This window comes from Homo sapiens, chromosome 22 (assembly GCF_000001405.40).
Source record: "Homo sapiens chromosome 22, GRCh38.p14 Primary Assembly".
Taxonomy (NCBI): Eukaryota; Metazoa; Chordata; class Mammalia; order Primates; family Hominidae; genus Homo; species Homo sapiens.
In genome coordinates this window covers 38027073-38054845 of record NC_000022.11, presented here as the reverse complement: position 1 = coordinate 38054845, position 27773 = coordinate 38027073, and the positions used below count along the sequence as shown (strand labels likewise).

The window sequence follows — 27773 nt, the reverse complement described above, 5'->3', positions numbered from 1 at the left end:
GCTCACTGCAACTTCTGCCTCCCGGGTTCAGGCGATTCTCCTGCCCCAGCCTCCTGAGTAGCTGGGATTACAGGCGCCCACCACCATGCCCGGCTAATTTTTTGTATTTTTAGTAGAGACGGGGTTTCACCATGTTGATCAAGCTGGTCTCGAACTCCTGACCTCAGATGATCCACCCACCTCAGCCTCCCAAAGTGCTAGGATTACAGTTGTGAGCCACTGCACCTGGCCTTTTTCTCAACTTACTTTCTAATCTCTGGCACCCCCATCTTCCATAGTATACTTAGAATCCATCAACAGGTGTCATTGTGACAGACAAGAAAAAGGAAATCAGATTGCTTTGTAATACTGTTGGTGTGAAAATGTCACAACCTGCTTAGCTTTTTTAGCAGAGGGGGTCACTGGAATCAGCCCACACAGCAGAGGAACATGTCCCAGTCAATTGAGGGGGTCTGGTTGGGACCAGGAATCTATTTGAGGGAAAAGAAAGTTCAAGTACCTTATTCTATCACCCAAGTAAGCACTTCTTGTTTTTCCAGCTGGACAGGAAGCCCCTGGTTCGGGGCCAGGTGCTCTGTTTTGCCCTTCTCTGAATTGGCCACGATGTCCAGCGCAATACCTGGCTGCAAATCTGGTGCTTGCAGAAATCGCTGCGGCTTTAGTATGAGATGAAACTTTCTCTGGATCCAGGAGGAGAGGACTTGCATGAGCAGAGGGGGTCAAGAGGGTTGGGTGTCTCAGGGAAGAGATGAGGAGGGCCTCAACAGGGACAGTGGCAGTGGCCTGAGTTTCCTCCACAGGGCTGGAATCACCAGGCCGTGTCTAGGTCCTGAATTTTGGTTTTGGAAAAACAGCATCCTTCAAACCCAACAGCTGTAACAGAGATTGGAGCTCCCCTAGCCCAGGGTGGCTCCAGCTCAAATCCCAGCTCCACTCTTTTAGCTGGAGGACCTTGGACATGTCACCCTTTGTCTCTGAGCCTTGGTGTCTGTGGAGTGAGGATGATGATCCTCCCAAGACAGTGGTTAAAAAGAGGAAGACAGGCTGGGCGCAGTGGCTCTCGCCTGTAATCCCAGCACTTTGGGAGGCCGAGGCAGGTGGATAACCTGAGGTCAGGAGTTCAAGACCAACCTGGCCAACATGGCGAAACCCCGTCTCTACTAAAAATACAAAAAATTAGCCGGGCGTGGTGGCACACGCCTATAGTCCAAGCTACTTGGGAGGCTGAGGCATGAAAATTGCTTGAATGCGGGAGGCAGAGGTTGGAGTGAGCCGAGATTGCACCACTGCACTCCAGCCTGGGCAACAGAGTGAGACTCCGTCTCAAAAAAATAGATAAATAAATAAATTAATTAATTAAAAGGGGAAGACAAAAAAGGAGAACCAGGTGTGAAAGTGTTTTGCGAGTGATTCACAGAGCACAGATGTCAGAGGTTTTTATCGTCCTTCTGTTTATAGCTATTTTGCTGAACCCCTGCAGAGGTCGGGGCCGATGGTGCATTTCATGAACCCTAAGATGCTCAGGCCTCTGCATCAGACTTGGCTGGGAAGTGTCTTAAATGCAGATCCCTGGGCTCCAGCTTAGACCTGTTGGATTGGAATCTCTGGGGAAGGGGAGATCTTGGGGGCTGCATTTTCGCAACGCTCTGTGGGTGATGCCAATGCCTGCTGCGGTTTGAGGACCACTGTGCCAGAGGTGAGAACATGCAGTGTCTGTGCACACTGAGGTGGGCCTGTGCGAGGCACCAGCAATCCGTGTCCCCAGGGCCTCACCATCCCAGATAATCCAGGGTGTTGCGTGGGCCCGGAGGAGGGGCTCCTGCCCAACCAAAGGCCAGCGAAGGCTTCCTGGAGGAGGTGCTGGTGGTGCCCAGGCTGAGGCAGGCAAAGGGAAAGAGGGAAAGGTGCAAAGGCTTCCCGTGGCGGGTGGTGGAGGGGACAAGGCACAGTCCCAGGCCCCTGGGAATCGCAGTCTGGCGAGGGAGACAGTTGGGGGCAGCGACTGGCAAGGGCCTCAGAGGGGAGGGCTGGGTAGAGCCCCTTCCTCAGGATGGGTAGGATTCTAGGGGTTGAAATCAGGGTGAGGACACCCACCTACTCCCAGGAGGCTGAGCTAGGGCGGCGGCTCACACCCTCCCTCTTCAGCTCGCATCTCCTCCTCCCCTGAGGCTACTCCTGAGTCCGTCCAGGCGCCAAGGCAAGTGACCTCTGTCCTGGCCTGGCCCTGCCACTGAAAGTTGTGTGACCCTGGGTCTGGGTCCCCTCCAAGCTTCCATCCCTGTGGCTCCGTCTGAGATTCAATCCACAAGGGCTGGCTCTGCTGCCCACATTCCTGGGGAAGTGCTGCCACCCGGTGGCCATTAGGAAAGACAGCTCCTGGAGCACGCGGCCCGCCACAGAGCCCCCAGCTTTCCGCACCTGCCACTGTCGCCACCTGCTGACTCAGGGCTGCCGTGGAGCTCAGGGGTCTGTATACTTTGTGGACGGGTGAGCTGGTCTTGTGCATGCCCGCGTTGTGCCTGGCTGTCCGCTCTGCAGCCACCGCTGTCCCCCAGCCGAGGCCTGCAATCCTCCTTACTTAAAGGTCCAGAAGCCGGAGTGGGTTGCTGGAATTCAGCTCAGTTCGTCGTCAACATAGACATTTAGAGTGTGGGCTTTCAGGTCAAGCAGACGACAGTGACCCGGGCAGCTAAGGCTGGGTGCCTTCTGTGCACAGGCCCAGAACCGAGCAGCTTCCATTCCCTTCCTCACATGAGCCTCACAGCAGTGTGGTGATCCCACATGCTCACTCATTCACGCACTCATTCATTCAGTACATTTTTCTTGAGCACCTACTACGTCCAGGCCACACACCAGGGAACGAGACAAGCAAGGCCCTGCCTTGATAGAGCCCTCGTGAGTGGGAGGAGCAGGCAATCAACTGGTAAGCAAAGAGTTGACTGCTTCCAGCTGGTGGCAGACACCAGAGATTTTATAAAATGGAGGGGTGGGAAAGGTGATGGGTGCAGTGGCGCGATCTTGGCTCACTGCAACCTCCACCTCCTGAGTTCAAGTGATTCTCCTGCCTCAGCCTCCCAAGTAGCTGGGATTACAGGCAAGCGCCACCACAACTGGCTAATTTTTGTGTTTTTTGTAGAGATGGGGTTTCACCATGTTGGTCAGGCTGGTCTCGAACTCCTGACCTCAGATGATCCACCCACCTCGACCTCCCAAAGTGCTGGGATTACAGGCATGAGCCACTATGCCTGGCCCAGGGGGTTCTTTAGACGTGCCGCTCTGAGAGGGTCTCTCTGAGGAAGTGCTCAGGGACACCCAGGAGGAAGCAGCAGGGCGTTTCTGCGGCAGGTGTGCACTGTCACCCTCAAGCGGCCTGAGAAGAGGTGGTGCAGCCAGCAGGGGCCAGTCCTGCGTTCTTATCCCCCTCTTGTCACAGATGCCTGCAGAGTGGCTGGTGATGGGGCCTGCGCTTGCTTGCTAACCAGTCTCTAGTCTGTTTTCTACAGACAGCCAGGTCCCTGTGGGCAGAAACCTGGCCCATCCAGGTCACATCTCTGTCCCCAGCACCTAGCACACTGGCTAGCATGGGGTGACACTCAACACCTGTCTGTTAAATGAATGAATAACTGTGTCATCAAAAGTAGGAGGCCAGATACCAGGCAGTGGCCAGAGATAGCAGAGGCCTCAAGTGCTGGCATCAGAACCCCAGACTTGATCTGCCTGGCACTGAGGAGCCACAGAAGACTCTAGCCGGGAAGGGAAAGGGCAGTCAGACTTGTGTTTGCCTGGAGGCCCCTGGCTACCATAGACAGGCTGAGGGAGACAGGGGGGCCCATTGGTGGGGATGGGAACACCACCCCCTGAGTCTGAAGCAAGGTGGGGACAGGACCCAGGGGCCGAACCACTGGGAAGCTGGGTTGGGGCAGCAGAAGGGAGGCCTGGCGGGGTGGGCCAGCCCTGAGGACAGCGGGTCACGAGGGTCACCTTCCTCTTGGGACAGGAAAGTGTCTCCCACTAGGGTGGCAGCAGTGGAGGCGAGGGAGGGGGTTAGTGTGGCTCAGGGGCATCCGCATCCTTCTGGAAGCCTGTTCTTAGCTTTGATGGATCCCTGGCTCTCACCACCCTTGGGGTACAGGGCAGCTATCTCCTCTCTTCTCCACTGCCTCCTCCAGTCAGCTGCCTCCAGCCAAAGGTGGGAGGTGGGCTTCCGTGGGGCCCCAAGTCCCCCCAGCCACCCCCAAAGTGGTTCTATTCCTGGCTCGGCTGGGCGTGTAATGGGCTGACCTCTGCCCTCCCCTCCACCCCCACCCCCCATGTGCCCTGCCCCCGGGTTAGGTCAGTGATGAAAGCTGGTGGGAGCCCAGGGGGATGGGGAGGAGAGGGACAGAGCCTGATTGTTCCCCACCCTGGCAGCACAGTGGCTGGCTCATTGCGCTCGCCCTCTCTCTCTCCTCCCTCTCCCTTGGTCAGGGTTCTCAAACTCAAGTGGGAAGCTATTTCTCTTGTAGATGCTGCAACACCCCATCCCCACCCCTCCCTCAGAGGTTCTGAATCTTTGGGACCTTAGTGGGTTGGAGGCCCATGATTCAGACACAGGCGGGGAAGGCTGGTGGGACCACACTTTGGAAAGAGCCGGGGACCAGAGCCAGAAGACCTTGGGTGTCACTGGCCCCCTCTGAGCCTCAGTGACCTCAGTGTGGAATGGGGTCTTGGGACGCGAAGAGCAAGGCCAGCCTAGAGGAGAGGGATGAGGACAGACAGCAGGTGAAACTGATGTGAATGCGCCTGGTCCTTCCTTTCTCCTCGCCTGCCACGCCCCGACCTTCAGTATCCCTGTGTGCGTTGGTCTGTGCCGGGCTCTTTGTCCCATGGGTCTCGGTGGCCGCCTCTGCAGTGATAAATCCCAGACTGGCCTAAAGACCGTAGCTGTACGCCTGGCCTTGATAGTGGGTAGGGCAGGTGTCCCACCTCGTTCTGTAGGAGTGTCTCAGCTATTCTTACTGCTTTGCTCTTTCTCACTGATTTTTGGAATCAGCTTGATTAGCTCCATCAGAAAGCCTGTCAGGTTTTGATCAGGACTGAGTTGAACTGACATTAATTTGGGGAGAATGAACATGTTTATACTGAATCTCTCTATGCAACTTAATAGCTGTCTCTTTGCATTCACTTACATCTTTTATTTCTTATTAAGGGAATTTTTTAAAGTACAAAATTAGAGAGAAGAGGGTAATGACGCTTTTTGTACCTAACACCAAGTTGCCCAGTGATCCCTCACCGCCGCTCCATTTTCAGCCACAACCCTGCCCATGCTGCACCCCTTCCTCCATCTCAGCTTTCCTTATGGTGAAGCAAATATTGAGGATCTTCTTTAATGTCTTCCAATAACATTTTTTGTCTATGTTTTTATTTTCAAATAATTTTAGACTCACATGAAGTTGCAAAAATAGTACAGAAGGGTCCCAGGTACCCTTTTCCCAACTTCCCCCAAAGGTAACGTCTTATATAGCTAGAGTACTTGACCACAGAACTTTATTCAGAGTTCGCTAGTTCTGCATGCATTCGGGTAGGTGTGTGTGCACACGTGTGTATGCCTGTGTGTGCATGTGTATGTGTGTACAAGTGCCTCTGTGTGTGTGTGTGTGGTTCTATGCAATTTCATCATGAGTAGATTCAAGTAGCCACCATCACAATTAAGATACAGAACTGACCAGGCGTGGTGGCTCACCCCTGTAATCCCAGCACTTTAGGAGGCCAAGGCAGGCAGATCGCTTGAGGTCAGGAGTTTGAGACCAGCCTGGCCAACATGGTGACACTCTGTCCCTACTTAAAATACAAAAATTAGCTGGGCGGGGTGCAGTGGCTCCCGCCTGTAATCCTAGCACTTTGGAAGGCTGAGGAGGGCGGATTGCCTGAGCTCAGGAGTTCGAGACCAGCCAGGACAACATGATGAAACCCCATCTCTATTAAAATACAAAAAATTAGCTGGACGTGGTGGCGCATGCCTGTAATCCCAGCTACTTGGGAGGCTGAGACAGGAAAATTGCTTGGACCTGGGAGGCGGAGGTTGCAGTGAGCCAAGATCGCACCATTGCACTCCAGCCTGGGCAACAGAGCAAGACCCTGTCTTAAAAAAAAAATTAGTTGGGCATGGTGGCACGCACCTGCAATCCCAGCTACTCAGGAGGCTGAGGCACGAGAATCACTTGGACCTGGGATCATGCCACTGCACTCCAGCCTGGGCGATAGAGTGAGACTACATCTCAAAAAAAAAAAAAGAAAGAAAGAAACTGCCAAGCCATTTTTCAGTGTGCCTGTACCTCAATAGCATTTTAGGTTTATCACCATAAATATTTCGTTAGATGTAATTTTTGTTATTATTGTAAATGGAAGATTTTTTAAAATTATATGTTGTCAGCTGTGATGTTTATAAATGCAATTACTTTTTTCTTGAGATACAATTTACATACCATAAAAATTCATCATTTTAAAGTGTACGATTCAGTGGTTTTTTGTATATTCTCAAGGTTATATACAACCATCACTGCTATCTAATTCCAGAACATTTTCATCATACCAAAAGAAAACTTAACCCATTCATAGTCACTCCCCAAGCCCTCCTCTCCCCAGCTCCCCGAAGCTACTAATATACTCTCTGTCACTATAGATTTGTCTATTCTGGGCATTTCATATAAATGGAATCACTTCATATGTGACCTTTTACCTCTGGCTTCTTTTGCTGAGGATCATGTTTTCAAGGGTTATCGGTGTTTTAGCTCTAATTAGTTTTTTTGTTTGTTTTGTTTTGTTTTGTTTGAGATGGAGTCTTGCTCTGTCGCTCAGGCTGGAGTACAGTGGCGCGATCTCGGCTCACTACAACCTCCACCTCTCGGGTTCAAGTGATTCTCCTGCCTCAGCCTCCTGAGTAGCTGGGATTACAGGCACCCACCACCACGCCCGGCTAACTTTTGTATTTTTAGTAGAGACGGGGTTTCACCGTGTTGGCCAGGCTGGTCCCGAACTCCTGACCTCACGTGATCCACCTGCCTCGGTCTCCCAAAGTGCTAGGATTACAGGCGTGAGCCACCGCACCCTATAATTAGTTATTGATATTGATTTGATGTAGGAATATCCTTTCTCTGCTAAATTTCATTCATAGTTCTAATACTTTGCCAGTTAGATGATTTGGGGTTTTCTATGAATAGACAGTCATACCACTTATAAATAATACCAGTTTTGCTTTTCTTTTCCAATCCTTATCCCTTTTCTTCATGCCTACTTTCCAGGCTAGGACCTCAGGTGCAATGTTGAATCAACTCATGGATGAGGGGCAAACCCATCCCTGATTTTAAGAAATGTGTCCATTACCCCTTTAAGAACTGTGTTTGTGCTGGGTTTTGTGGATAATTTTTATCAGTTTAAGGAAGTTTCTTTCTCTTTTTTTTGAGACACAGTCTCACTATGTTGCCCAGGCTGGTCTCAAACTCCTGGGCTCAATCGACCCTCCTACCTCAGCCTTCCAAGTAGCTGGGATTACAGGCGCACACCAACAGGCCCGGTTAAACTTGTATTTTTTGTAGAGACAGGGTTTCACTGTGTTGCCCAGGCTGGTCTCGAACCCCTGGGCTCAAGCGATTTATCTGCCTTGGCCTCCCGAAGTGCTGGGAGCCACCATGCCCAGCCTAAGGAAATTCCTTTCTATCTCCAGTTTGCTAAAACATTTCTATCTTAAGTAGATGTTGACCTTGATTTCCAGTGCCAAGATGATCATATGACTTTTCTCCCTTAATTTATTAATGTGATAAATTCACTAATAGATTTTTCAAATGTTAAATGATCCTTACATTTCTAAGATAAACTCAGTTTGGGCATGATGCATATATCTGTTTGGCTAATCTTTTATTTAGGATTCTCACATCTAATTTCACAAGCAGGGTTGGTCTATGATTTTCCTGTGAGTGCACTTTGTAAAGGGAAAGGAGCCGTCTCAGGTCTCAAGTGTCTGTCTCTGATGATCTGCCCACCTCGGCTTCCCTCTCTCCCGGTCTCTGTCTCTTTCTCAGGGTCTCTATCTGTCCCTCCCCATACACACTGCTTTGGCTTGAGGGTGGTTGGCCAAGGGGGTGCCCTCTCAGGGGACAGAGAGTGGGAGGCTCCCCCAGGCCTCCGAGGGAGCCTCAGGGGTTGGGAGCTAGAGAGCCTGGGACCAGCCAAGCAGCCATTGCTCCTCAGCCCCTCGCTGAAAAGCGAGGCTCTGTTCTTCTCAGCCCCACACACTCAGCCCTCAGAGGAAGTGGCTAAAAAGGAGCTGGGGTCAGGGGTTAATGACCCCATTGTGCCCAGGGCTGACGGATGGCCCTGCTTGTCAGGGACACCCCTTCATCCTTGGAGGGAGGGGCCCCGCTGGCCTTTGATAACCATTGGGGGCCACCTTCCTGCTGGGGGGTGCCAGGCTAGCCTCTTTGGTGGGGTCTGGTCTGCTGAGGCCCTGGCATGCAGCCCTCCGCCCCCTCTCTACACCCACCCCATTCTCTACATGGGGCTACAGGGAGCCACGGAGGGGGCTGCTGACCGAGGGAACTGCCCATGGCCCTCAACCATCAATCTTGGGCGCCTGGCACAGGCCTGGGCCACGCCAGCCCTGTCCATCTTCTGGACAATTGTACCCTCAGAAGTGACCTGGCGAAGCCCAGCTCTCCCACATTTTGGATGGGGAAACCGAAGGGGTGGCTTGGGCAGGAACATGACCAGGAATAGAACCAGGTCGTGTGACGTCCTGCCCAGATGTGCCAGGATGGGGCCAGCACGGGGACATGGAGGCAAAGCAGACACAGTCTCTCCCTCGAGGGACTCACAGGCTGGAAGTGGAGGATCAGCATGTCAACCAAAAATTATAACGGAGGAATAGGGGGTACCAGAAAAGGGAACCCCAGCCGAGCCAGCAAGCCAGGGAGGCTTCCAGGAGGAGAAGATGCTGGGGCTGATTATTTTTTCTTTTTCTTTTTTTTTTTGAGACAGAGTCTCGTTCTGTCACCCAGGCTGCAGTGCAGTGGCACAATCTCAGCTCACTGCAACCTCTGCCTCCTGGGTTCCAGCGATTCTCCTGCCTCCAGCCTCCTACGTAGCTACCACCACGCCCGGCCAATTTTTTGTATTTTTAGTAGAGACGGGTTTCACCATGTTGGCCAGGCTGGTCTCAAACTCCTGACCTCAGATGATCTGCCCACCTCAGCCTCCCAAAGTGCTGGGATTACAGGCATGAGCCACCGTGTCTGGCCTTATTTTTTATTATTTATTTATTTTTGAGAAAAAGTCTTGCTCTGTCTCCCATACTGGAGTTCAGTGGCACAATATCGGCTCACTACAGGCTTGACCTCCCAGGCTCAAGCAATCTTCCCACTTCAACCCCCCAAGTAGCTGAGACCACAGGTGTGTGCCACCACACCCAGTTAATTTTTTAATTTTTTTGGAGAGATGAGGTCTCACTACATTGCCCAGGCTGGTCTCAAACTCTTAGGCTCAAGCAATCTTCCTGTGGGGCTGATTCTTAAAGGGGGAGTAGAAGTTAGACCAAAGTAGATGGGGACAGCAGGGAAAGGTATTCCAGGCAGAGGGAACAGCATATGCAAAGGCATAGACTAAAACCAGCTGTGAGAATCACAGCAGTTCAGCAGTGAGGGAGGAGGCTAAGGAGGCCAGCAGAGGCCAGGTTTTCCAGGGCCTCACATATCGTGTTAAGAAGTAAGATGTTGGCCAGGCCCGGTGGCTCACGCCTGTAATCCCAGCACTTCGGCAGGCCAAGGCAGGCAGATCACCTGAGGTCAGGAGTTCGAGACCAGCCTGGCCAACATAGTGAAACCCTGTCTCTACTGAAAATACAAAAATTAGCTGGGCATGATGGCATGGGCCTGTAATCCCAGCTACTCAGGAGGCTGAGGCAAGAGAATCGCTTGAACCCGGGAAGCAGAGGTTGCAGTAAGCCGAGATCGCGCCACTGCACTCCAGCCTGGGCGTCACAGCGAAACTCTGTCTCAAAAAAAAAAAAAGGGCTGGGCACGGTGGCTCACGCCTATAATCTCAGCACTTTGGGAGGCCGAGGCAGGCGGATCACAAGGTCAAGAGATCGAGACCATCCTGGCCAACATGGTGAAACCCCGTCTCTACTAAAAATACAAAAGTTAGCTGGGCATGGCGGCAGGCGCCTGTAATCCCAGCTACTTGGGAGGCTGAGGCAGGAGAATCACTTGAACACGGGAAGCGGAGGTTGCAGTGAGCCAAGATCGTGCCACTGTACTCCAGCCTGGCAGCAGAGTGAGACCTCAGCCTCAAAAAAAAAAAAAAAAAAAAAAAAAAAGAAGTAAGATGTTAAGATGTTTAGACTCGGCAGTTAGTTTGTTACTTGTGTGGCATTGACCATTGACCCTTCAAACACACTTGTGGCCCTAAGTTCCTCCTGGTGCTACAAAAAAAAAAAATCCTCATAGGCATCATTTTTAGTGGCTGTGTCATATTCTGTCTCAGGATTGTGCTATGATGCACTTTACCAATCCTCTACTGGTTTGTGTTTTGTTTTTGTTTTTTTGAGACAGAGTCCTGCTCTCTGACCCAGGCTGGAGTGCAGTGGTATGATCTTGGCTCACTGCAACCTCCGCCTAACGGGTTCAAGCGAATTTTGTGCCTCAGCCTCCCTAGTAGCTGGGATTACAGGCACCCGCCACCACGCCCGGCTAATTTTTGTATTTTTAGTAGAGACGGGGTTTCACCATGTTGGCCAGGCTGGTCTTGAACTCATGACCTCAGGTGATCCGGCCGCCTCGGCCTCCCAAAGTGCTGGGATTGCAGGCATGAGCCACTGCGCCTGGCCGTAATCCTCTACTGTTGATTAAGGTTGTGGCCAGTTATTCACAATTAGACACATCGCAATACAGATCTTTGGGCATGAATCTTTATTTATACCTAATTTGCTTTAACAAAGTGTCATACAAATGTAGCTTCCATTTGCATGAAGTCATCACAGCCACCAAACCAGCAGAGCATCCGCGTGTCCTTCAACAAGCGCCCCATAGGTGTCACGTCTGTGTTATACAGTGGCTCTAGGGCCTCCCTTGAAATTTGGCTGCAAATGTTATCGACAAAACCAACTTACCACCTGTCTTCTCTCTTCCTGGGCCCTCTCTCCTCCCATGCATCTTTCTAATTCACCTCCAGCCTAGGAAATGGAAGCACCCAAGGCATCAGGACTGTGTCAAAAGGAAGAATAAATGGACTTCGAGTGGGTCAATGAGGCACAGGAGGGGCTCGCTCAGGTCGAAGTGCCTGATTTGGGTCCAGGGTCGGGGGAACTCTCCCCAGCCCCAATGGGAGTGTGTGTGCATAGGGGTAGTGGTGGAGAGATGGCGCCCTGTGGGTAATTAGGGGAAAGTGCTTTGAATCTGCCCAGAGCATACAGGCATAAGGGCAAACTGACTAAGGCCCTACTGTGTGCTGAGCCTGGTGGAGTGGAGGGCAGTGACAGGTACAGCCTGGGTGGGAGAGGAAGGTGCAGTCCTCAGCTGAGGGATGGGGCTGGGGGCCTGGGGAAGCACCGGGAGCTACCTAGCCTCTCTCAGTTCTCCTCAGTATCCACACCAGGTGCGCTGATGACAAGTTGCCCAGGACCAGGCAGGGGCACCTCTGAAAAGCTGTAAATAAACCCACAGAGGACAGGCCCCTTGCTCCCCAGGCCAGGGGCACATGGCCAGCACTCGGAGCTCTCAGAAGAGAAAGAACAACCCTGTTTCAGACGGGACCTTCCACACAGCCCAGCAGTGGCATGTGGGCCCTCACCCAGCACCACCCACCCTTTCTGGTCCCCAAGGCTTCCTTCTTCTGGGACCTTCAGTAGAGACAGTAAACCCCCTGAAGCCCTACACTCCTGACACCCCTCCTCTATTGCAGAGAGGAGAGGCCATTGGACAGGGCCCCTTGGCCTCCCCTCCGGCCACCAGCTTTGCAGCTCTCAGTCCTCACCCCACCTGCTGCCCGCCTGGGAGTGGGGGGCCCCCACCCAGCTCTAGAACCCTCCATCTCTGCAGGAGCCCCTCTCCCACTGGCCCAGCCCTCTTCTGTGTGGTCAGCAGCTCTTCTCCCCTCTACCCATTCCTTCCTCTCAGCCCAGAAAATAAGAACAGCTATTGCTCTACTCCTTCTCCCTTCCCAGCCCAGCTTCCCCAAAGAACTGTCTACTAGCTGTCTGCACTTCCTTCCCTCCTGAATGCTTGTGACCCTGCTCTGGAGAAGGTGCCATGGCATGGGAAGGCACTCTCCCAAACCCTCTCCTCCTCGTCTCTCCAGGCCACTTTGCTGGCCACCCCACCCTCCTGGACAGTGCGGCTCCTTCTCTGACCCCTCCAGGTGGGTGGGGCAGGCCTGCAGACTTCTTCCTTCCTCTTTTCATTCTCCCACTGGCTCACACCCAGGGGGTCCCTGGAGCCTCTTCACAGTGCCCATCCTGGCACAGGCCATGGGTCAGTCACAGCCCCTGGGCACCTGGGCACCAGGGCACCCTGGGCCTCCCGGCCTCAGTTGGGTTGTGGAGGGAGGAGCCAAGTGTGACCATCACAGAGATCCTCCGGGGCCTCCAGCCCATGACCTGCAGGGACCAGGAGGACCCGGAGGAAGGCAGCCACTGTGTGCTCCTGGACCCAAGCAGACACCAGGGTTCCTCTAGGAGGGGCTGGGGCACCAAACTTCTGGGTGATCTGCTGGCTGGGCCCTCGTTCCTCCAGGAAGAGCAGTTGAGACACTATCCTACCCCATCCTTCCCCAACTCCTCCCCAAAGTCATATGCAGCAAGCCTCCAAAAATTGGTGGTTGGGGTTTACTGCTTCCTGAGGTGGAGTAATCTCCACCCAGGGGCAAAAATGTCCAAGTACAAATATTCTCTTTCTCTCTCTCTTGCTTTTTGATAACAGCTTTATTGAGGTGAAATTCAAATACCATACAATTCATACAGTTAGAGCATACAGTTCAGTGGGTTTTCACATGTTCACAGAGTTGTGCAATATTTTCACAGTCATTTTAGAATATTTTCATCACCCAAAAAAGAAAGCCTGTGCCCGTTAGCCATGATCCTTCCCAGCCCCCAGCCCCAGCCCACCACTCACCCACATTCCTTTCTCTACAGATTTGCCTATTCCAATATTGCAGACTTAATGTCTCTTGCCTCAGTTTCCCCAACTATAAAATGGGGGTGATAATGGTACCTCCAATTTGATAATGGTTGGGAGGGTTCAATGAGTTAACGTAAGGATGCAGGATGAGGTCTGTACAGAGTCAAGGCTATGTAACGTCTACTGTCGTTATTACTTGACCTTGGCTAGGTGTCCGGGGGCTGGAGCTTTTCCACCGCCCACAAGCCTTCCACTTGCCCCATGAGCTCATTCCGCCCTCCCCTCCATCCCCCGCCTGGATCCTCTCCTAGACTCCAGACATCCCAACAGTCCCTCCCCAAGCCTGTCTGTCCTGCTGTGTCCCTCACTCAGGAGATGGAATGACCTTCCACCTGGTCACCTGGGCCAGAAACTGAGGGGTGTCCTGGAAACCTCCCTCCCCCTGTGCCTGCCCCCGCCATCTGGTCCATCAGTCTAGACCGTGTCCTCACATCCCTTCCCTGGCGGCCGCCTTGACCAGTCCCCACCACCAGCACTAGTCACCAGCCTGGCTCTGGCATTCCATGTACTTCCGTCCACCATGCATTGTTCACGGGGCTTCAGGCGAGTCACTCCTCTCTGAGCCGCCGCCTCCTGGAAAATAACACAGGGATAACTACGGTGCCGTCTTCCTTCACTGTGTTGAGGATGACATGAATGAAATACATGAAGAACTTCAGCCTTTGATCAACGTCACTGTTGTCATCATTATTCTCTCTCCTCTGGCTGACTTGACCACTCCTGTCCAGGGTCCTTGCCCCCATGTTCCCCTTGGCACATCCTCCACACGTTTTATAAAAGCTGCCATTACAGAGCGCTGACCGTGTGCAGGACAGCAAGCCCAAACTGCCATGCTCCCTTCACCATCACAACATGCCCACCAGGCAGGTGCCAGTGCCCTCGTTCACAAAGGAGGAAACTGAAGCTGAAGGACCCCCACAGGAGTTAACCATTGCCTCTGGATACACCGCTGGCATCTGTGTATTGATTCAAAGCATTTACTGAACATCTACTGTGTGCTGGCACTGAGCTAGGTGCTAGGAAAACAGTAATGAACCAGACTGGCATATGGTCAGGCCATATGGTGACAACCTTTCTAGAACACAAATCTGACTCCCTTGAAATCCTACAGTGACCACCCCACTGCCCTCAGGATCTAGTCCCCAGACCTTCCCAGGCCACCCTTGGTCCTCAGGAGCTCCCTGCTGACCTCTGTAGCCACTTTGCTGACTGCTCTTCCCCCTGCTGCCTCTCCCACCACCCCTGCCAGGCCCTCTGCTCCAGCCCATGGCCTGGGGTGCCTCTCCCCACCAGTTTTGCCATTCACATCTGCTTTCCTACCCTTTTCTCAATTTCTTTTTTTTTTTTTTTTTTTTTTTGAGACAGGGTCTCACTGGCCCCCAGGCTGGGGTGCCATGGTGTGATCTCGGCTCACTGCAGCTTTGACCTCACAGGTTCAAGTGATCCTCTGGCCTCAGCCTTCGAAGTAGCTGGGACCACTGGGACCACAGGCATACACCACCATGATTAGCTAATTTTTTAATCTTTTTGTAGAGACAGAGTCTCCCTATGTTGCCCAAGCTGGTCTCCAACTCCTTGGCCTCAAGTGATCCTCCCACCTCACCCTACTAAAGTGCTGGGACTACAGGTGTGAGCCACCACACCTGACTCCATTTCTCATTTTCATTGCCTGCAGAACTTTTACTGTCTCTTGAGACTTTATTCACAGTCACCTCCTCCAGGAAGCCTTCCTTTCCCAACTTCAGGTTAGGCGCTCCTGGGTAGCCCAGGCCCCCTCTTGCAGCACAGGGGCTCTTCACTGATTTGCCTGTCTTCCTTGAGGGCCGCCAGGGTCTCGCTGAACTCAATGGCCCTCGCCCTGCCCCTGCCCGCCACCCCGTCCAGTTCCGGGTGCTCGGGTTTCCTCTCTGGGTGTCTGTGCGCGGCTGGAATGCCAAGGTTCTTCGCCAGCAGTGCCTTTGCTTCCTTTGCGCCTCTGTGGAGGCAGGGCTGGTGCAGGGGTGGAAGGGGTGCCTCTTGGGAGCAGCTGCGTACAACCTGCCAGGGCTCTGGCTCCTGGGCCTGGGTGAACTGCCCAGGTCTCCATCCTTCCCCTCCCCCGGGCACCGGCTCTCACAAGGCGGGGGTGGCTGCCCTGGGAAGAGAGGATCTGCCCTGGAGTCAACTGGATGAGCGCCCAGTCCTGGCTGTGGAGCCTCTCTGTGCCTCAGTTTCCTCATCTGAAAATGGCATCATCAGCCGTCCCCACCCACCTTGCAGGGCTGTGAGGGGACGTGGGCAGGGACAGTGGACAGAAATTGTGTCCCCGGACGGCAGACTCTTCATTCTCTCGCTGGCTTCCTGACATTCCTATCTAGGACAAGTTGTGTTTCAGTTTCCAAAAATTCCGGTACATTTGGTTTTAGGCTTTGTCTCGGGAGACAGCCCCATCTGGTGCTTCCCACGGGTGGGAGCGGGTGCAGAGACGGCTCTTTCTGGAGGGGCTGGTTCCCAGCGGCGGCCCCCTCAAGCGCAGTCCACTCAGTCGTCAGAGGGGAGCCGCTCCCGGGAGGCAAGGGCCGCGGGAAATGGCGGAGGGCTGCCTCTTGTCCCATGCAGGGACGAGGCCTGGCGCGGAGGCTGGGGACGGGAGGGTCCTGCCACTCCCTGGGGGGCGCAAGGTGGGTCACGAACGTCCTGTGGAGCCCCAGCCGCCCCCTACGACTGCCCCGGCCCCGAGAACCCTGGGAAAGCCCAGGCCGCCCTGAGGGCCGCTCGCAAGATGGCGGCCGCCAGTGCAGGCGCTGGGAGAGGGAGGGCGCCGCGGCCGCCACGGTCAGCGCGCAGCCCCGGGGTGCGGGCGCCGGCGGGGGGAGGAGGGAGTTTGGGTGGGTGGGGGGCCGGGAAGAGCCAGCGAGAGGGGCAGGGAGGGGAACAAAAGGTCCCTTTGTGGCGCTGCGGGAGAAGAGGGAGCGCATTACCCAATGCCCAGAAGCCATGTTGGTAACAAGAGAACCATTCTCTGCCTCACTTGGAAAACAACTTGGAGCAGAGAGAGACAGGGAGAGATTTAACCCCATGGGCGCGGGCGCAAGGGGCTCAAGGCCACGGCGGAAGGTGGGGAGGAGCGAGGGCACACTCAACGCCTGGACGACCAATCTCTCAACCCGTCCCATCCTGTGCCCGGGTGGCTCCTGGGTCCAGAGCCCATCATGGCCGCCAGGTCAAACCCCAGCCGCCCTGTGACCCGGCCAGAGCCATGGCTTCCACCTGCCTGGGCCCGGCCTGGTCCTTTCCCCCAAGCTGCTTGCTCCAAGCTCTGGGGCCTGGCCCACCCTAACCTCAAGAGGACGCCCTCTGAATCCTCACATCCTCTGGCTTCAGGTCCCAAAGCTGGTCCTGGTTCCAGGGCCACCAGGGCTCCATTGGCCTCCTGATACTGACAGGGAGCTTGTCCCTTCCATCTTTGCACAGTTTGCCTTTCAGGACGTTTTTCCTAAAATTTAATCACATTTTTTCTTTCCCCACCCCAGCTTTCTCCCCTTCCCCCACCTTCTACCCCCCAACACTGGCTCTCAGGCTCCCAGAGAGGCCATCTGATAATAGGCAAGTTGTTCTAAAAGAAGCTACTGTTCATGAGCACCTACTGTGCTTAGGGTACTTCCCACACGCTGACTTGATGACCCTTGCTACCTCCGGCCAACCTGCATGAAGTGAGCTGCTGTCTCTCTGCTGAGGCTACTTATTCAAAAAGCACCTCACACAGGGCCACACATAGGAGGCACTCCATGAACAAAGGATAGGAAGAGTTGGGAGGCCGAGGTGGGTGGATCACGAGGTCAGGAGATCAAGACTATCCTGGCCAACGTGGTGAAACCTCATCTCTACTAAAAATACAAAAATTAGCCAGGAATGGTGGCACGTGCCTGTAGTCCCAGCTACTCAGGAGGCTGAGGCTGGAGAATCGCGTGAACCCGGGAGGTGGAGGTTGCAGTGAGCTGAGATGGTGCCACTGCACTCCAGCCTGGGCAACAGAGGGAGACTCCGTCTCAAAAAAAAAAAAAAGGAGATAGGAAGAGGCCAGGCATTGGCCAGGAAGTGGCTCACAGCTGCATTCCCAGCACTTTGGGAGACCAAAGCAGAGGACTGCTTGAGGCCAAGAGTTCAAGACCAGCCTGGGCAACATAGCAAGATCCCCATCTCTACAAAAAAAAAAAAAAAATAGCCGAGCATGGTGGTGTGCACCTGTAGTCCCAGCTACTCTAGAGGCTGAGGCGGGAGGATCGCTTGAGCCCAGGAGTTCAAGGCTGCAGTGAGCCAAGATTGCGCCACTGCACTCTGGCCTGGAAGACAGAGTGACACCTTGTCTCAAAAATAACATGACATAACATAACATAACATAACATAACATAAGGTTGCTCATTAGCAGAATAAAAAGGTCAGTCCTTCCTTCCTTCCACAAACACTGATTGAGCAGTGGCCATGTGCCCAGCTCTGGGGCTACAGCAGTGGACATAACAGACCAGCTTACCCTCACGGAGCAGATATTCTCCTCTCTCCTCAGGAAGATGCATAGTATACAAGTAAACCTACAAGCTAACATCAGGCAGCCATGAGTTCCAGAATAAAAAACAAAGCAGGGTAAACGTGAAGAGAGATGGGAGGGGTGTTATGTTAGACATGGTGGTCAGAGAAGACCCCTGCAAGAGTATGACCTTTGACAAAGATCTGAAAGAAGAGAGGAAGGATGTCTGGGGAAAGAATGTTCCAGCCGGTGGCAACAGCACAAAAGGCCTGAGAGGGAATGTGCTGTTGAGTTTAGGAACAGCCAGGAGGCCAGTGTGTGGGAAAAGGAGTCAGACACGTGGGGTTGGAGGGCCCAGCTCTGAACGCTGGGGGAAGGCTAGGCATGAGGGGCCCGTTGGGGCTTTAAGCAGGGGATGGTGTGGTCTGAACTCCATCGCAACAGGACTCTCTGGAGGTCAAGGTCAGAAACTGAGAGACCCACAGTTCTTGGCCGCAGCCCTCCTTACCCCGTCTCCCATCCCTTGCAGCCACTCCTCCCCGGTTGCCCACCCCTCCTAAATGAGATCCAAATCATTCTTTCAGTAAGTGTTTACTGAGCATCTAGTATGTGCTAAGAATGGGCCTGCTCCTCTAGGACAGGTTCCTAAGGAGAGCAGCCTTGCCCATGAGGGCGGTTCACTAATGGGGGCTTCCAGGCCCCTGAAGGGGAAAGTTGCCTGTGGACTTCCTGGTTGCACAGAAGGAAGCCTCTCCTTCGGGGAATTTTTAAAGCTTCTCAAAGGACTCTGAGGACATTCCCTGCCCCACCAGCCTCATGGTGCCGTGACATCAGCAAATGGCCTAGAAAAGCAGGGGCTCGGCTGGGTGCGGTGGCTCACACCTGTAATCCCAGCACTTTGGGAGGCTGAGGCAGGTGGATCACCTGAGGTCAGGGGCTCGAGACCAGCCTGGTCAACATGGCAAAACCCCGTCTCTACTAAAAATACAAAAACTTAGCCAGGTGCAGTGGCAGACGCCTGTAATCCCAGCTACTTGGGAGGCTGAGGCAGGAGAATTGCTTGAACCCGGGAGGCGGAGGTTGCATTGAGCCAAGATCCTGCCACTGCACTCCAGCCTGCGCAACAGATCGAGACTCTGTCTCAAAAAAAAAAAAAAGAAAAGCAGGGGCTCAGTGCCTCACCTCTGACCTCAGGCTGGTTCCTGGCCTCCCAGGGCCTCAGTTTCCTCATCAGTAAAACCACACCCACCCTGGAGCTTTGTGGGTTCATCAAAAGAAGGCAGCTTGCCCTTTGGGGGCAGGAAGGGGGCTCTGAGACGTGAGGCTGCAACTCATGGTCACCCAGCTGGGAAGGGGCAGCACCTCCCACCCGCTCCCGCCAGGGCTTCCCCTCCTCTTCTGCTGTTCCCAGTGGCCCGGCGGGTGCCTCAGTTCAGCCATGGTTATGAAGCAGATGCATATGAAGTGCCTGCGGGTGTCAGGCAGCACCTGGAGAGTGAGGTGGGGCAGTCATGCAGAAAGTGGTGATAGTAGCAGGAGGTTTCAGATGGCAGAGAGGCCGGTGGGCAGGAGAGGGAGGCTGCATGGCCCCGAGGACACGAGCAGGATAGACCGAGGGATTGCAAATGAACAGAAAAGAAACGTGCTCCTGCCAGGCCCCCTGCCCTGGGAAGGGAAGAGAGCGACCCCTGATTCCCACTTGCCCCACTGACTTGCTCTAGACCGTTGGGCAGCAGCCCCTTGGCCTGTTAGGCCTCAGCATCCTCATCTGTCAAATGGGCTTATCCCTCTCGTCCCATAGGATGGTGCTGAGAATCAGGCAAGGTGAGGGGTATGCACACACCACACTGGATGTAAAGGCCTCGGAGGCGCCTGTTGTTAACAGTTAATGGGCTCCAGATGTGCACCATTTACAGAATAACCCACCATGGTGAGTTTGTGCCACAGGCGATGCCACAGAAGGGTGTGAGACCGAGAGAGAGAGACACACACAGGGGGAGAGAGAGAGATGGCTATGGCAGAGAGCAGGGAAGGCTTCCTGGAAGAAGCAAGACCTACACTATGTGTGTTATGGAGGGATGGGCAGGATTTGCAGAGGCCAAGAGGTGTGGGGAGAGCTTAGGTGGAAGGACCAGCACAAGGGAATCTGCTTGGGGAGTGGGGAGGGATGTCAGCCCCCTGGCTAGCAAGGTGGGGTGGGGAGGCTGGGGTGGGATCCTGGAAAGCCCCAGCTCGTCCTAGGCCACGGCCCCAGGTCTCACCTCCCACCACTCCCAGCCCTGGGCCGAAAGCTCCCAACTGGTTTCTCCTCTGGCCTCTGCTCAAGCCCTGCCCCCACCTCCAGTGCGCTCTGTGTCTCTGCTGGCTGCTTCTGACTCATTGTTCCGAGCTGCGCAGGCACAACCCCCTCCAGAAAGCCCAGGCTGACAGGTCTCCCCTGGGATTAGTTCATTCTGTCCCAAGGGGAAGCTGCTATTATTATCCCCATTTTACAGAGGGGGACATTGAGGCTCAGAGAGGGGTCCAGGGCTGCACGGCTGGTGTCAGCGCTGGGATTTCAACTCCAAGTGGCCTGGCTCTCCTTTGAGCTCTTGGCTGCCTCCGCACCCCGCCCCATGCTGGGCACTTCGGTCTCCTTAGAGCTGGTGCAGGAGGTCGCTGGTTTTGCATTATCCCCTCCCCCGCTTCTTGGAGGAGGAAGCTGGAGCCCAGAGAAGGGTTGGGACCTGCCTGCCGCCACGTGGCCAGGAAGTGGCCGAGCAGATTCTGAAGCCAGGAGTGGCTGACCCCACTCCTCTGTGACAGGCCTGGGGAAGCTGCCAGGCCTGGGACGCAGGGGTGCATGGAAGGGAAGAGGCTGTGGCCCGAGGCCCAGTGAGAGCCCAGTGCAGCCCTGGAAGGCGGAAAAGACAACTAGTGGGGATGAGGAGCAGCGTGGACAGGCCCAAGGAGCTGGGGGACAGATGGTGGTGGTGAGGCAGCAAGGCTGAAACGGTGGGAGTAGAGGAAGCAGAAGGGGAGGCGGAAGGAGCTGACAAGGGGAGTCGGGAGGACACCAAGGGGCCATGCCAAGCCCTAGGTTTTGGGGCACTCCTGCCCTGTCCGGGTTCGGCCCCAGCCACTTGACCCCTGGGATGGTGCAGGGAATAGGGGTCAGCGGCGGTCACAACCTCTCTTGACTCCCAGAATCAAAGGGGTTGGGGCCCCAAGTGAGCAGCAAACTTAGAGTCAGCATGGGTCATGAGGAGTCGCCCAGTGCCCTCGTCCACGTCACACCCTCTCCCAGCGAGCACAGGACAGAAGCCTCGAGGCCCTTCCACGGGCACTGTCGTCAGTCAGTGGAGTCACATGGGGGGCAGGCAGCGGGGCCGTGGCGCCTTCCGGTGGCTTCCCCACATCCACCCCTCCCCTCAGGATCCTGCCACCGCTCTTGGAAAACAACTGAGGAAATCAAGTGGAAACACAAATCCGCCACCCAGTCCCTCCCGCTCCGCCGGGGCCAGATCCCATCCCCCAACCCCCACTGCACTGGGGGAGCAGGCTTGGCCTCAGAGGCTGTGCCAGCCCAGCAGGGCTTGCCTTGGCGAGGCTCTGTGGGCACTGGTGATTGGTCCTGGAGTTCCCAGCAGCTGGGCCTGTCTGTCGCCCCATCTGGTCCTACAGAACCAGCCCTACCCCAGAGGGACTGGGTAACCAGGCTTGAACCCCGCTGCAACCTCTAGACTCTGGGATCTGGGGCCAGGGAAATTCCAGCCCTGGCTCTACCAGAGCCTAGCAGGCCGCCCTGGACAAGCGCTTTCTCTCTGTAGGTCTCAAGAGTCCTCATCTGTAAAATGGGAGAGATAAGCCATGCCCCGTCCACCTGAAAAGGCTGGCGAAGAAAGACAGGGCAACTAGGGAGGACAGCTCTGTGCAAAATCTCAAGATTTTGTCCACTTCCTTTTTTTTTTAATTTTCTTTTTTCTTTCTTTTTTTTTTAAGACAGGGTCTCACTCTGGGGCCCAGGCTGGAGTGCGGTATCATGATCACAACTCACTGCAGCCTCAACCTCCTGGGCTCAAAGATGGCTCACAGATGGCTGCTTTGATGTTTACAAGGAGGTGTTGCGTCACAGGTTGGGAGGTCATGAATTATGTCATGCTCCATGTGGGGGACATGAATTATGTCATGCTCCGTGTGGGGGACATGAATTATGGACGGCAGTAAGGGATTCCAGAGGCAGCTCACCAGTGGCCCACGGAGCCCTTCTCAGCTTGGCCTCCCCACCTCCCACCGTGGCCACCCCTCCTGCCCCTGCAGGCCTTCATAACTGCGCATCCAGGCAGCTTCCTTGCTGAAGCACCCTCTCCGCAGAACTCCTGCTCATTCCTCAAGACCCAGCTCGACTGTCTGTCCTCTGTGACACGTCCTGATTCCAGGCAGCATGAGGGGCGTCCGCCACCCCACGTTGGTTCCTACAGCACACTGTGTCAGTGTGGCATCATCCATCCATGTCCCCAATCAGGGTGTGGACAGGGCCTATGCCTCAAGCATCCTGGTTTCCCTGCCCCATGCCCAGTGTTGGGCCTAAGGAATAGCAGAGCTCAGTGGACTATGTGCCTGACTGTGGGCAGAGACCCCGGTCTCTCCTGGGCACACTCAGCCTCGAGGCAGCAGCTCGGCTCCTGACTGATGGATTCAGGGGCAGGTGATGGGTGTGAAGCAGTTTCCCCTGTCAGATACCCGCTGTGCATTTTTGGGAGGACCGTAACAGTGGAACTCCAGAGCTCTCCTGGGAAGATGGCTGTGGTGGAAGGTGAGAGGACACTGGCCAGTTAGAAAATGGATAAAAGCAGGCCAGGTGTGGTGCAGTGGTTCACATCTGTAACCCTGGCACTTTGGGAGGCCAAGGTGAGAGAATTGCTTGAGATCAGGAGTTCAAGACCAGCCTGGGCAACAGAGTGAGACCCTGTCTCTACAAAAAAATTAAAAATTAGCTGGGTGTGGTGGCTTGTGCCTAGGCTTCCAGCTATTTGGAAGGCTGAAGTGGGAGGATCACTTAAGCCCAGGAGGTTGAGGCTGCAGTGAGCCAAGATCGCGCCATTGTACTCCAACCTGGGCCACGGAGCAAGACCCTGTCTCAAAAAAAAAGTAAAAGAAAAAAAAGAAACTGGACAAAATCTCCAGACTTCAGACCAAAACAGAGGCCAAGACAGAGGGGACTAGAATGCTGGGGAGGGGACTACGGATGTGTTTGGAAGGAAAAATTGTCATGGCCGATGACTAGCCATAGGGGATGAAGGGGATGGATGAGTCAAAAATGACTCCGAAGCTTCATGCCTGGGTCACTGGAGAACAGTGGGGCCGTTGATGGGGCAGGGAAGCGGGGAGGGGTTGGTCTGGGGGCAGCATGGTGACGCGGGTTTGAGACATGGACTCACAGCACTTTCAGGCTGGAAGCAACCTTCGGAGGTCACCAGGGTCACACGTGAGGAAGTGGAAGCTGAGTGAGGAGCTGCCACTCAGCCGGGACACCTGTGACATCAGGCGCCTGGGACAGGGTGTTGGTGCTGGTGGGGACCTGGACAGCGGCACAGGGTGTGAAGTCCGTGCCTGCCCAGGTCCTGCACTGGGCTCTGGGGACCTGGTGGTGAATCAGACCCAGTCCCCACACTTAGGGGCTCACTGTTCCATGGAGGAGACAGACATGACTGTAATTACTACCTGGGCTAAGAGGGTGGTGTGGTGAGGACTCAGAGGGCCAAGTCTACCTTGTGGGGGGACGTGGGTAGGAGAAGTAGCCAAGGAACGAGGGCATCCTTGTTGTCAGAAGTAGGCTCCTCCGTGCCAAGAACATCTCATTTAATCCTTGCAACCATCCTGCAGGCTCTGTGGTATTACTGTCCGCATTTTACAGATGAGTTTGAAAAAGATGAAGCAGATTGTCCAGGGCCCTGCAGATGGAATGACACCCAAACTCTCGCTCTTAACCCCTGCGTCTTGGAAGAGGTGTGCTGGAGCTGAGGCCTGACAGAGTAGTAGGAGTTTCCCAAGGGACAAGGAGGGAGGGGGCGACACCGACACTTGCCAAGACCCGTCTTTCCATTGGCAGGGTCTGAAGTGCTGGTGGTCTGTAGCCTGCTTCCTTACCTCTTGCCCAGGGCCTCTCACAGCTCTTCCAGCCCTCGTCCTGTCCCAGGGCCCCTCATTTCACAGACCCTGCCTTTCCCACCCCCTACTGGTGACAGCCGACTGATCTGATGGATTTGTCCAGCAACTGAGCTGGGGGTGGGGTGGGAGAGGGCCTGTTCCTGATCCCCGGGGAACCACTGACCACGCTCCCCAGGCCTTCCCAGCACAACCCTGCCCCCACCCACACCTCCCCACTGCATGACCTCTTCTTATCCCGGGAGTGACCCTGCAAAGCAAGTCATCCCAGAGAAGTGAGGATGTGCCTGAATCACCCAGTGCATAAGCAGCTGAGCTAAGTCTCAGACCCACAGGCCTGGGGTCTCAGACCATGGCGGTCCCCTGGGCTTGGACAAACCACAGAGTACTTTTCTATCCTCGGGCTCCGGTTTGCAGGGCACCATGGGAATGATCGGGGAGAAGGAGGGTTGAGCACTAGCAGTCTTGGGCAAATACAGTTTATAACCCAGGGTGTGGCAGTGCGCTGGAGTCAGCGCACACTGGCTCCCGAGAGCCAACTGTGAAAGTCTCTGGAATCGAAGCCAGTTGATATTACCTTGGAAGCTTTGAGCCTGCCCTGATGGGACTTTTTCCACTATGAAAATTGGCAGTCTACCTCTGTGTCTCCCACCTCCACAAACAGAGCTGGTTGTGAAGCATATTTACCAGCACATGACTGTCCAGAGGGCCCGACTCCTGGCTCCCCAGGGGGCTTGTGGGTTCTCTCAAGCTCCCAGCCCTATCTGGGGATCTTCGGGGAGTCGTTCTTGCTCAAAATCCATTGATATCTCCCACTTGCCACCAATAAAAGTCCAGACTCCTCCCCTGGGTTTTCCATCCCCAGCTTCAGGCCCAGGCAATCTTCCCAGCTGCATCTTAACTGTTCCCTTGCTGCCCCCACGCTTGAGCCAAACAAGAACAGATGATGCTTGTGGAAAAGGCCCTTGCTTCCTTAGTTTCCTGCTGCTGCAACAGCCTCACCTTGGCTCACGCTATTCCCTTTTCCCAAAATGCCTTTCCCCTAACTCTGCCTCTTGAAATCATCTCCAGCCTGCAAGGCTCATTCACAATTGGTGTTCAATCAATGTTTCTTGGCTGAATGGGAGGGAGCGTGGACGAAGGCTCCACAACCAGGACTGACCTGATGGTGCCTTGGTGAAGGCTAAGACCCTGGGAAACCCTGCATCCAATCCTCTGCCTCAGGACAGAGACACCCCAAAATCCCCTGCCTTCCCTAGCTTGCTTGCAGTCTCCCAGATGATGGGGTGTTAATGGAGGACAGACTGGTCACTGCTTCACAGGTAGCAAAAACAGAAACCAACTTGAACCATCCAGGTTACCTGGAAACCAATCCCTTCATTCTGTGGTCAGTCTCAAACTCCTCTGCATCCTTCAAAACCCATCCCAGGTGCTGCCTCCATTGAGAGGTCTTGCCAGTTAGAAGTCCTCCATTACCCCCTTGCCCCTGTGCCCTGCACACACTGATCATTGCACTCATGGCACAGGGTAGTGCTTATCTGTCTGTCCATCACCCCACTAGACCATAGCCAGAGGAGACAGAGCCTTATTTAAGGCTTTATCCTCAGGCTGGTGCCCAACAAGCTTAGGAGGTGCTTGTTGAACTAACTTGAAATGACTCCATCACTGTCAGCCAAGTCATCCTCCACTATCCTTGGGCCTCAGTTTTCCCCTCTGGATAAGCCAGACTTAGACGGGGTCATTTCCAAAGACATTCTGCATCTCCTATTCTGGGATTCTGTGATATGCCCCACTCCTTATCCATCTCTAATCTTCAAGTCTCCTTCCCTAAGCTGCAAGCCTTCCAGTGGGTGACGCCCCTTCCTCGGCTGCCTTCACCAGCACCACCTCACCCTGCAGACCACAGCAGTCTCTCCTCAGACCCCTGAACTCCCTTTTTCAGGGTGTTCTCTTCTCTCAGACTGTGGACTCCTCTGAAACCCTTTCAGAAGCCTCTCCTGCCCACTCCAGGCCTGGCTCACCAGCCAAGTGCACAGTCAGCACCCATAAGTGCCCATCAATGAGCTGTGATGGAGTGGCCGGGGCTTGCAGGGCCTTTGGAGAGCTGGCAGAGTTCCTGTTCAGACAGGCCTGGGAGCTGCCTGCCTATCACAGTGCGGGTGGAGGGTCCCCTAAAGCCCCCAGGACAAACAGCCACATCCCATTCTCTGCCTATTTCACTCAGACCTTCAGAGGGTGTGTGTGCAGGAGCGGGACAGGCTGTTGCTGCTGCCCCTTCCTCCCCATCCCACAGAGGGACACAGTGGCTATGTGGCCGCTGTCCTCTCCCCAATTTCTGCTTTCTTCTCTATCTCCCAAGCACACCCAGAGACATGCACGTGCATACACATAGGCACACACATACACACATTCATGCACACACGTATGCACACACATACATGCACACACGTATGCGCACACACACATGCACACACACGTACGCACACGCACACACACACACGCACACACAGATGCATGCGCAGGCACAGAGGGTCATGAGCCCCCGTATCAGTCACCCTGCACTGACATTTGGAGCACAGGGAGTTGTCCATGTGCCATCCAGGTGTGTTGACCCCAGGGAAGACCATGTGGGGCTGTGAGAAGGGGCTCCCAATCCCTTATCAGTCTTGAAACCCCCCACCCTAAAGCATCGCCGTGCAGCAGGAAAGCAGCCCACGCAGCCTCCAATCCTGGCTCTGTGTCTCTGTCTAAATCACCCAGGTCCCCACTGTTCTCATGTGGTGACCTCCTCCATCTCTAGCGCAGTCTCTCTCTCTCATGCACACAAGGTAGTCAGGGAACACACAGAACAAGCTGCGGGATGTCAAAAGGGGCGGTCAGTGGGCCAGGACATCCCAGAAAGCTCCAGGGAGCAGGGACTTTCGGTGATGCAGATACGATGGCTTACAACCCTGACTGTGGCGCCTCCTTCCCTAAGGGCTAGCTGGATGATCTTTAGCAAAATCCTAACCTCTCTATAGCTCAGTTTTCCTCCCTAGAATACAGTGGCGGGTAACAGCGCCACCTTGTAAGGTGGTTATGATTAAATGCATTTGATGTCCACCACACTGTGGCATGCAGTAAGGGCTCAATAAACATTGGCAGCTGCTGTTATAAGTGTGGAGGGGGTGTCCAGTGTCCTTGCCTATGAGCCCGCACTGTGCTGGGTGCTGGGGAAGACACCGAGGAGTTCATGAGGATGGGGAGGAGCAGACAGGGAGCCGGCTGCTCACAGGCCTGGGGTGGCGGAGGCGGGGGAATGTGTGTGTGCACACGTGCATATGAGCATTTGTTTCTGGGTGTGCTGCAGGAGCAAATGAGGATTGTTGGGGGCCAAGCTCTGATGGAGGAGGATCGGGAGCTGTGACAGGCCCCACATGAGGCCAGATGTGGTCTCAGAATAGCACAGCGAGAGGAGGGAGTTCCGGGCAGAAGGAATGGCCTGGGCAAAGGTTGTGGACAGTGAACTGTGGCCAAGGAGGACATGCTGCGGAAGCCACCAGCTTCAGGACCACCCCCACTGAGCAGAGGACAGAGACCTCCTTGAGCTGCTCTTGACCCCTGCCCCACATGGGTGACACGCCTCCATTTCACGCCTCTACACCTTTGTCCATGCAACCCCTCCCACAGTCACATCCTGTGAGAAGAACACGAACTCAGCGTGCTTTCCTAGAACTACAGGTGCCCCTCACCCAGCATGGGAGCACTCTGAGGCCTGCAGGTAGGAGGAACTCAATAGAGACTAGTTGATGAATGAATGAACGAATGAATGGACCACGTGTATCCCCCATACGCTAACGAGTCACCTGAGGACTGGCGTCATCCCGCACCCTATGCCATCTCGCACTCCACGACACACTGCACAGTCCCCAGGGACA

At 54.6% G+C, this 27773-nt stretch overlaps 1 protein-coding gene and 1 long non-coding RNA gene across 4 annotated transcripts in view, besides 11 other annotated features; one reads left to right on the top strand and one right to left on the bottom strand.

Annotated features, from left to right (window-relative positions):
- Positions 2265-2314: an enhancer, noted in NCBI's record as "active region_18990". NCBI's record gives its function as "activates an Ori minimal core promoter by ATAC-STARR-seq in GM12878 lymphoblastoid cells {active_cell/tissue: GM12878}" and the evidence as "EXISTENCE:reporter gene assay evidence [ECO:0000049][PMID:35858748]".
- Positions 3410-3910: an enhancer, noted in NCBI's record as "H3K4me1 hESC enhancer chr22:38446943-38447443 (GRCh37/hg19 assembly coordinates)". NCBI's record gives its function as "activates a minimal SCP1, AML or CMV promoter by ChIP-STARR-seq in naive H9 embryonic stem cells {active_cell/tissue: H9 hESC(naive)}" and the evidence as "EXISTENCE:reporter gene assay evidence [ECO:0000049][PMID:30033119]".
- Positions 3911-4411: an enhancer, noted in NCBI's record as "H3K4me1 hESC enhancer chr22:38446442-38446942 (GRCh37/hg19 assembly coordinates)". NCBI's record gives its function as "activates a minimal SCP1, AML or CMV promoter by ChIP-STARR-seq in naive H9 embryonic stem cells {active_cell/tissue: H9 hESC(naive)}" and the evidence as "EXISTENCE:reporter gene assay evidence [ECO:0000049][PMID:30033119]".
- Positions 7974-8713: an enhancer, noted in NCBI's record as "VISTA enhancer hs492". NCBI's record gives its function as "enhancer in: hindbrain (rhombencephalon)[4/5] | cranial nerve[4/5]" and the evidence as "EXISTENCE:transgenic organism evidence [ECO:0001131][PMID:17130149]".
- Positions 7974-8950: a biological region, named in NCBI's record as "VISTA enhancer hs492".
- Positions 8449-8950: an enhancer, noted in NCBI's record as "H3K4me1 hESC enhancer chr22:38441903-38442404 (GRCh37/hg19 assembly coordinates)". NCBI's record gives its function as "activates a minimal SCP1, AML or CMV promoter by ChIP-STARR-seq in primed H9 embryonic stem cells {active_cell/tissue: H9 hESC(primed)}" and the evidence as "EXISTENCE:reporter gene assay evidence [ECO:0000049][PMID:30033119]".
- Positions 12057-12556: an enhancer, noted in NCBI's record as "H3K4me1 hESC enhancer chr22:38438297-38438796 (GRCh37/hg19 assembly coordinates)". NCBI's record gives its function as "activates a minimal SCP1, AML or CMV promoter by ChIP-STARR-seq in naive H9 embryonic stem cells {active_cell/tissue: H9 hESC(naive)}" and the evidence as "EXISTENCE:reporter gene assay evidence [ECO:0000049][PMID:30033119]".
- Positions 12931-27773, bottom strand: part of POLR2F (RNA polymerase II, I and III subunit F) — an 88253-nt gene continuing 73410 nt past the window's right edge. For all 3 annotated transcript variants that reach the window (NM_001363825.1, NM_001301130.2, NM_001301131.2), the window contains one exon: positions 12931-13778. Coding sequence is in view for 2 of the 3 variants with exons in the window: in NM_001301130.2 (NP_001288059.1) it covers positions 13754-13778 (25 nt within the window). In the remaining variant the exon portion in view is untranslated. The remainder of the gene's footprint in view (positions 13779-27773) is intronic.
- Positions 19953-20042: an enhancer, noted in NCBI's record as "active region_18989". NCBI's record gives its function as "activates an Ori minimal core promoter by ATAC-STARR-seq in GM12878 lymphoblastoid cells {active_cell/tissue: GM12878}" and the evidence as "EXISTENCE:reporter gene assay evidence [ECO:0000049][PMID:35858748]".
- Positions 20338-21613: an enhancer, noted in NCBI's record as "VISTA enhancer hs491". NCBI's record gives its function as "enhancer in: heart[3/7]" and the evidence as "EXISTENCE:transgenic organism evidence [ECO:0001131][PMID:17130149]".
- On the top strand, positions 20618-22674 carry POLR2F-AS1 (POLR2F antisense RNA 1). The gene is made up of 2 exons (NR_199596.1): positions 20618-20681; positions 21691-22674. It is a non-coding gene; the product is annotated as a POLR2F antisense RNA 1 (long non-coding RNA).
- Positions 22625-23824: an enhancer, noted in NCBI's record as "BRD4-independent group 4 enhancer chr22:38427029-38428228 (GRCh37/hg19 assembly coordinates)". NCBI's record gives its function as "activates an origin of replication core promoter dependent on BRD2, P300/CBP, MED14 and CDK7 cofactors, and independent of BRD4, by STARR-seq in HCT116 cells {active_cell/tissue: HCT116}" and the evidence as "EXISTENCE:reporter gene assay evidence [ECO:0000049][PMID:35650434]".
- Positions 25919-26419: an enhancer, noted in NCBI's record as "H3K27ac hESC enhancer chr22:38424434-38424934 (GRCh37/hg19 assembly coordinates)". NCBI's record gives its function as "activates a minimal SCP1, AML or CMV promoter by ChIP-STARR-seq in naive H9 embryonic stem cells {active_cell/tissue: H9 hESC(naive)}" and the evidence as "EXISTENCE:reporter gene assay evidence [ECO:0000049][PMID:30033119]".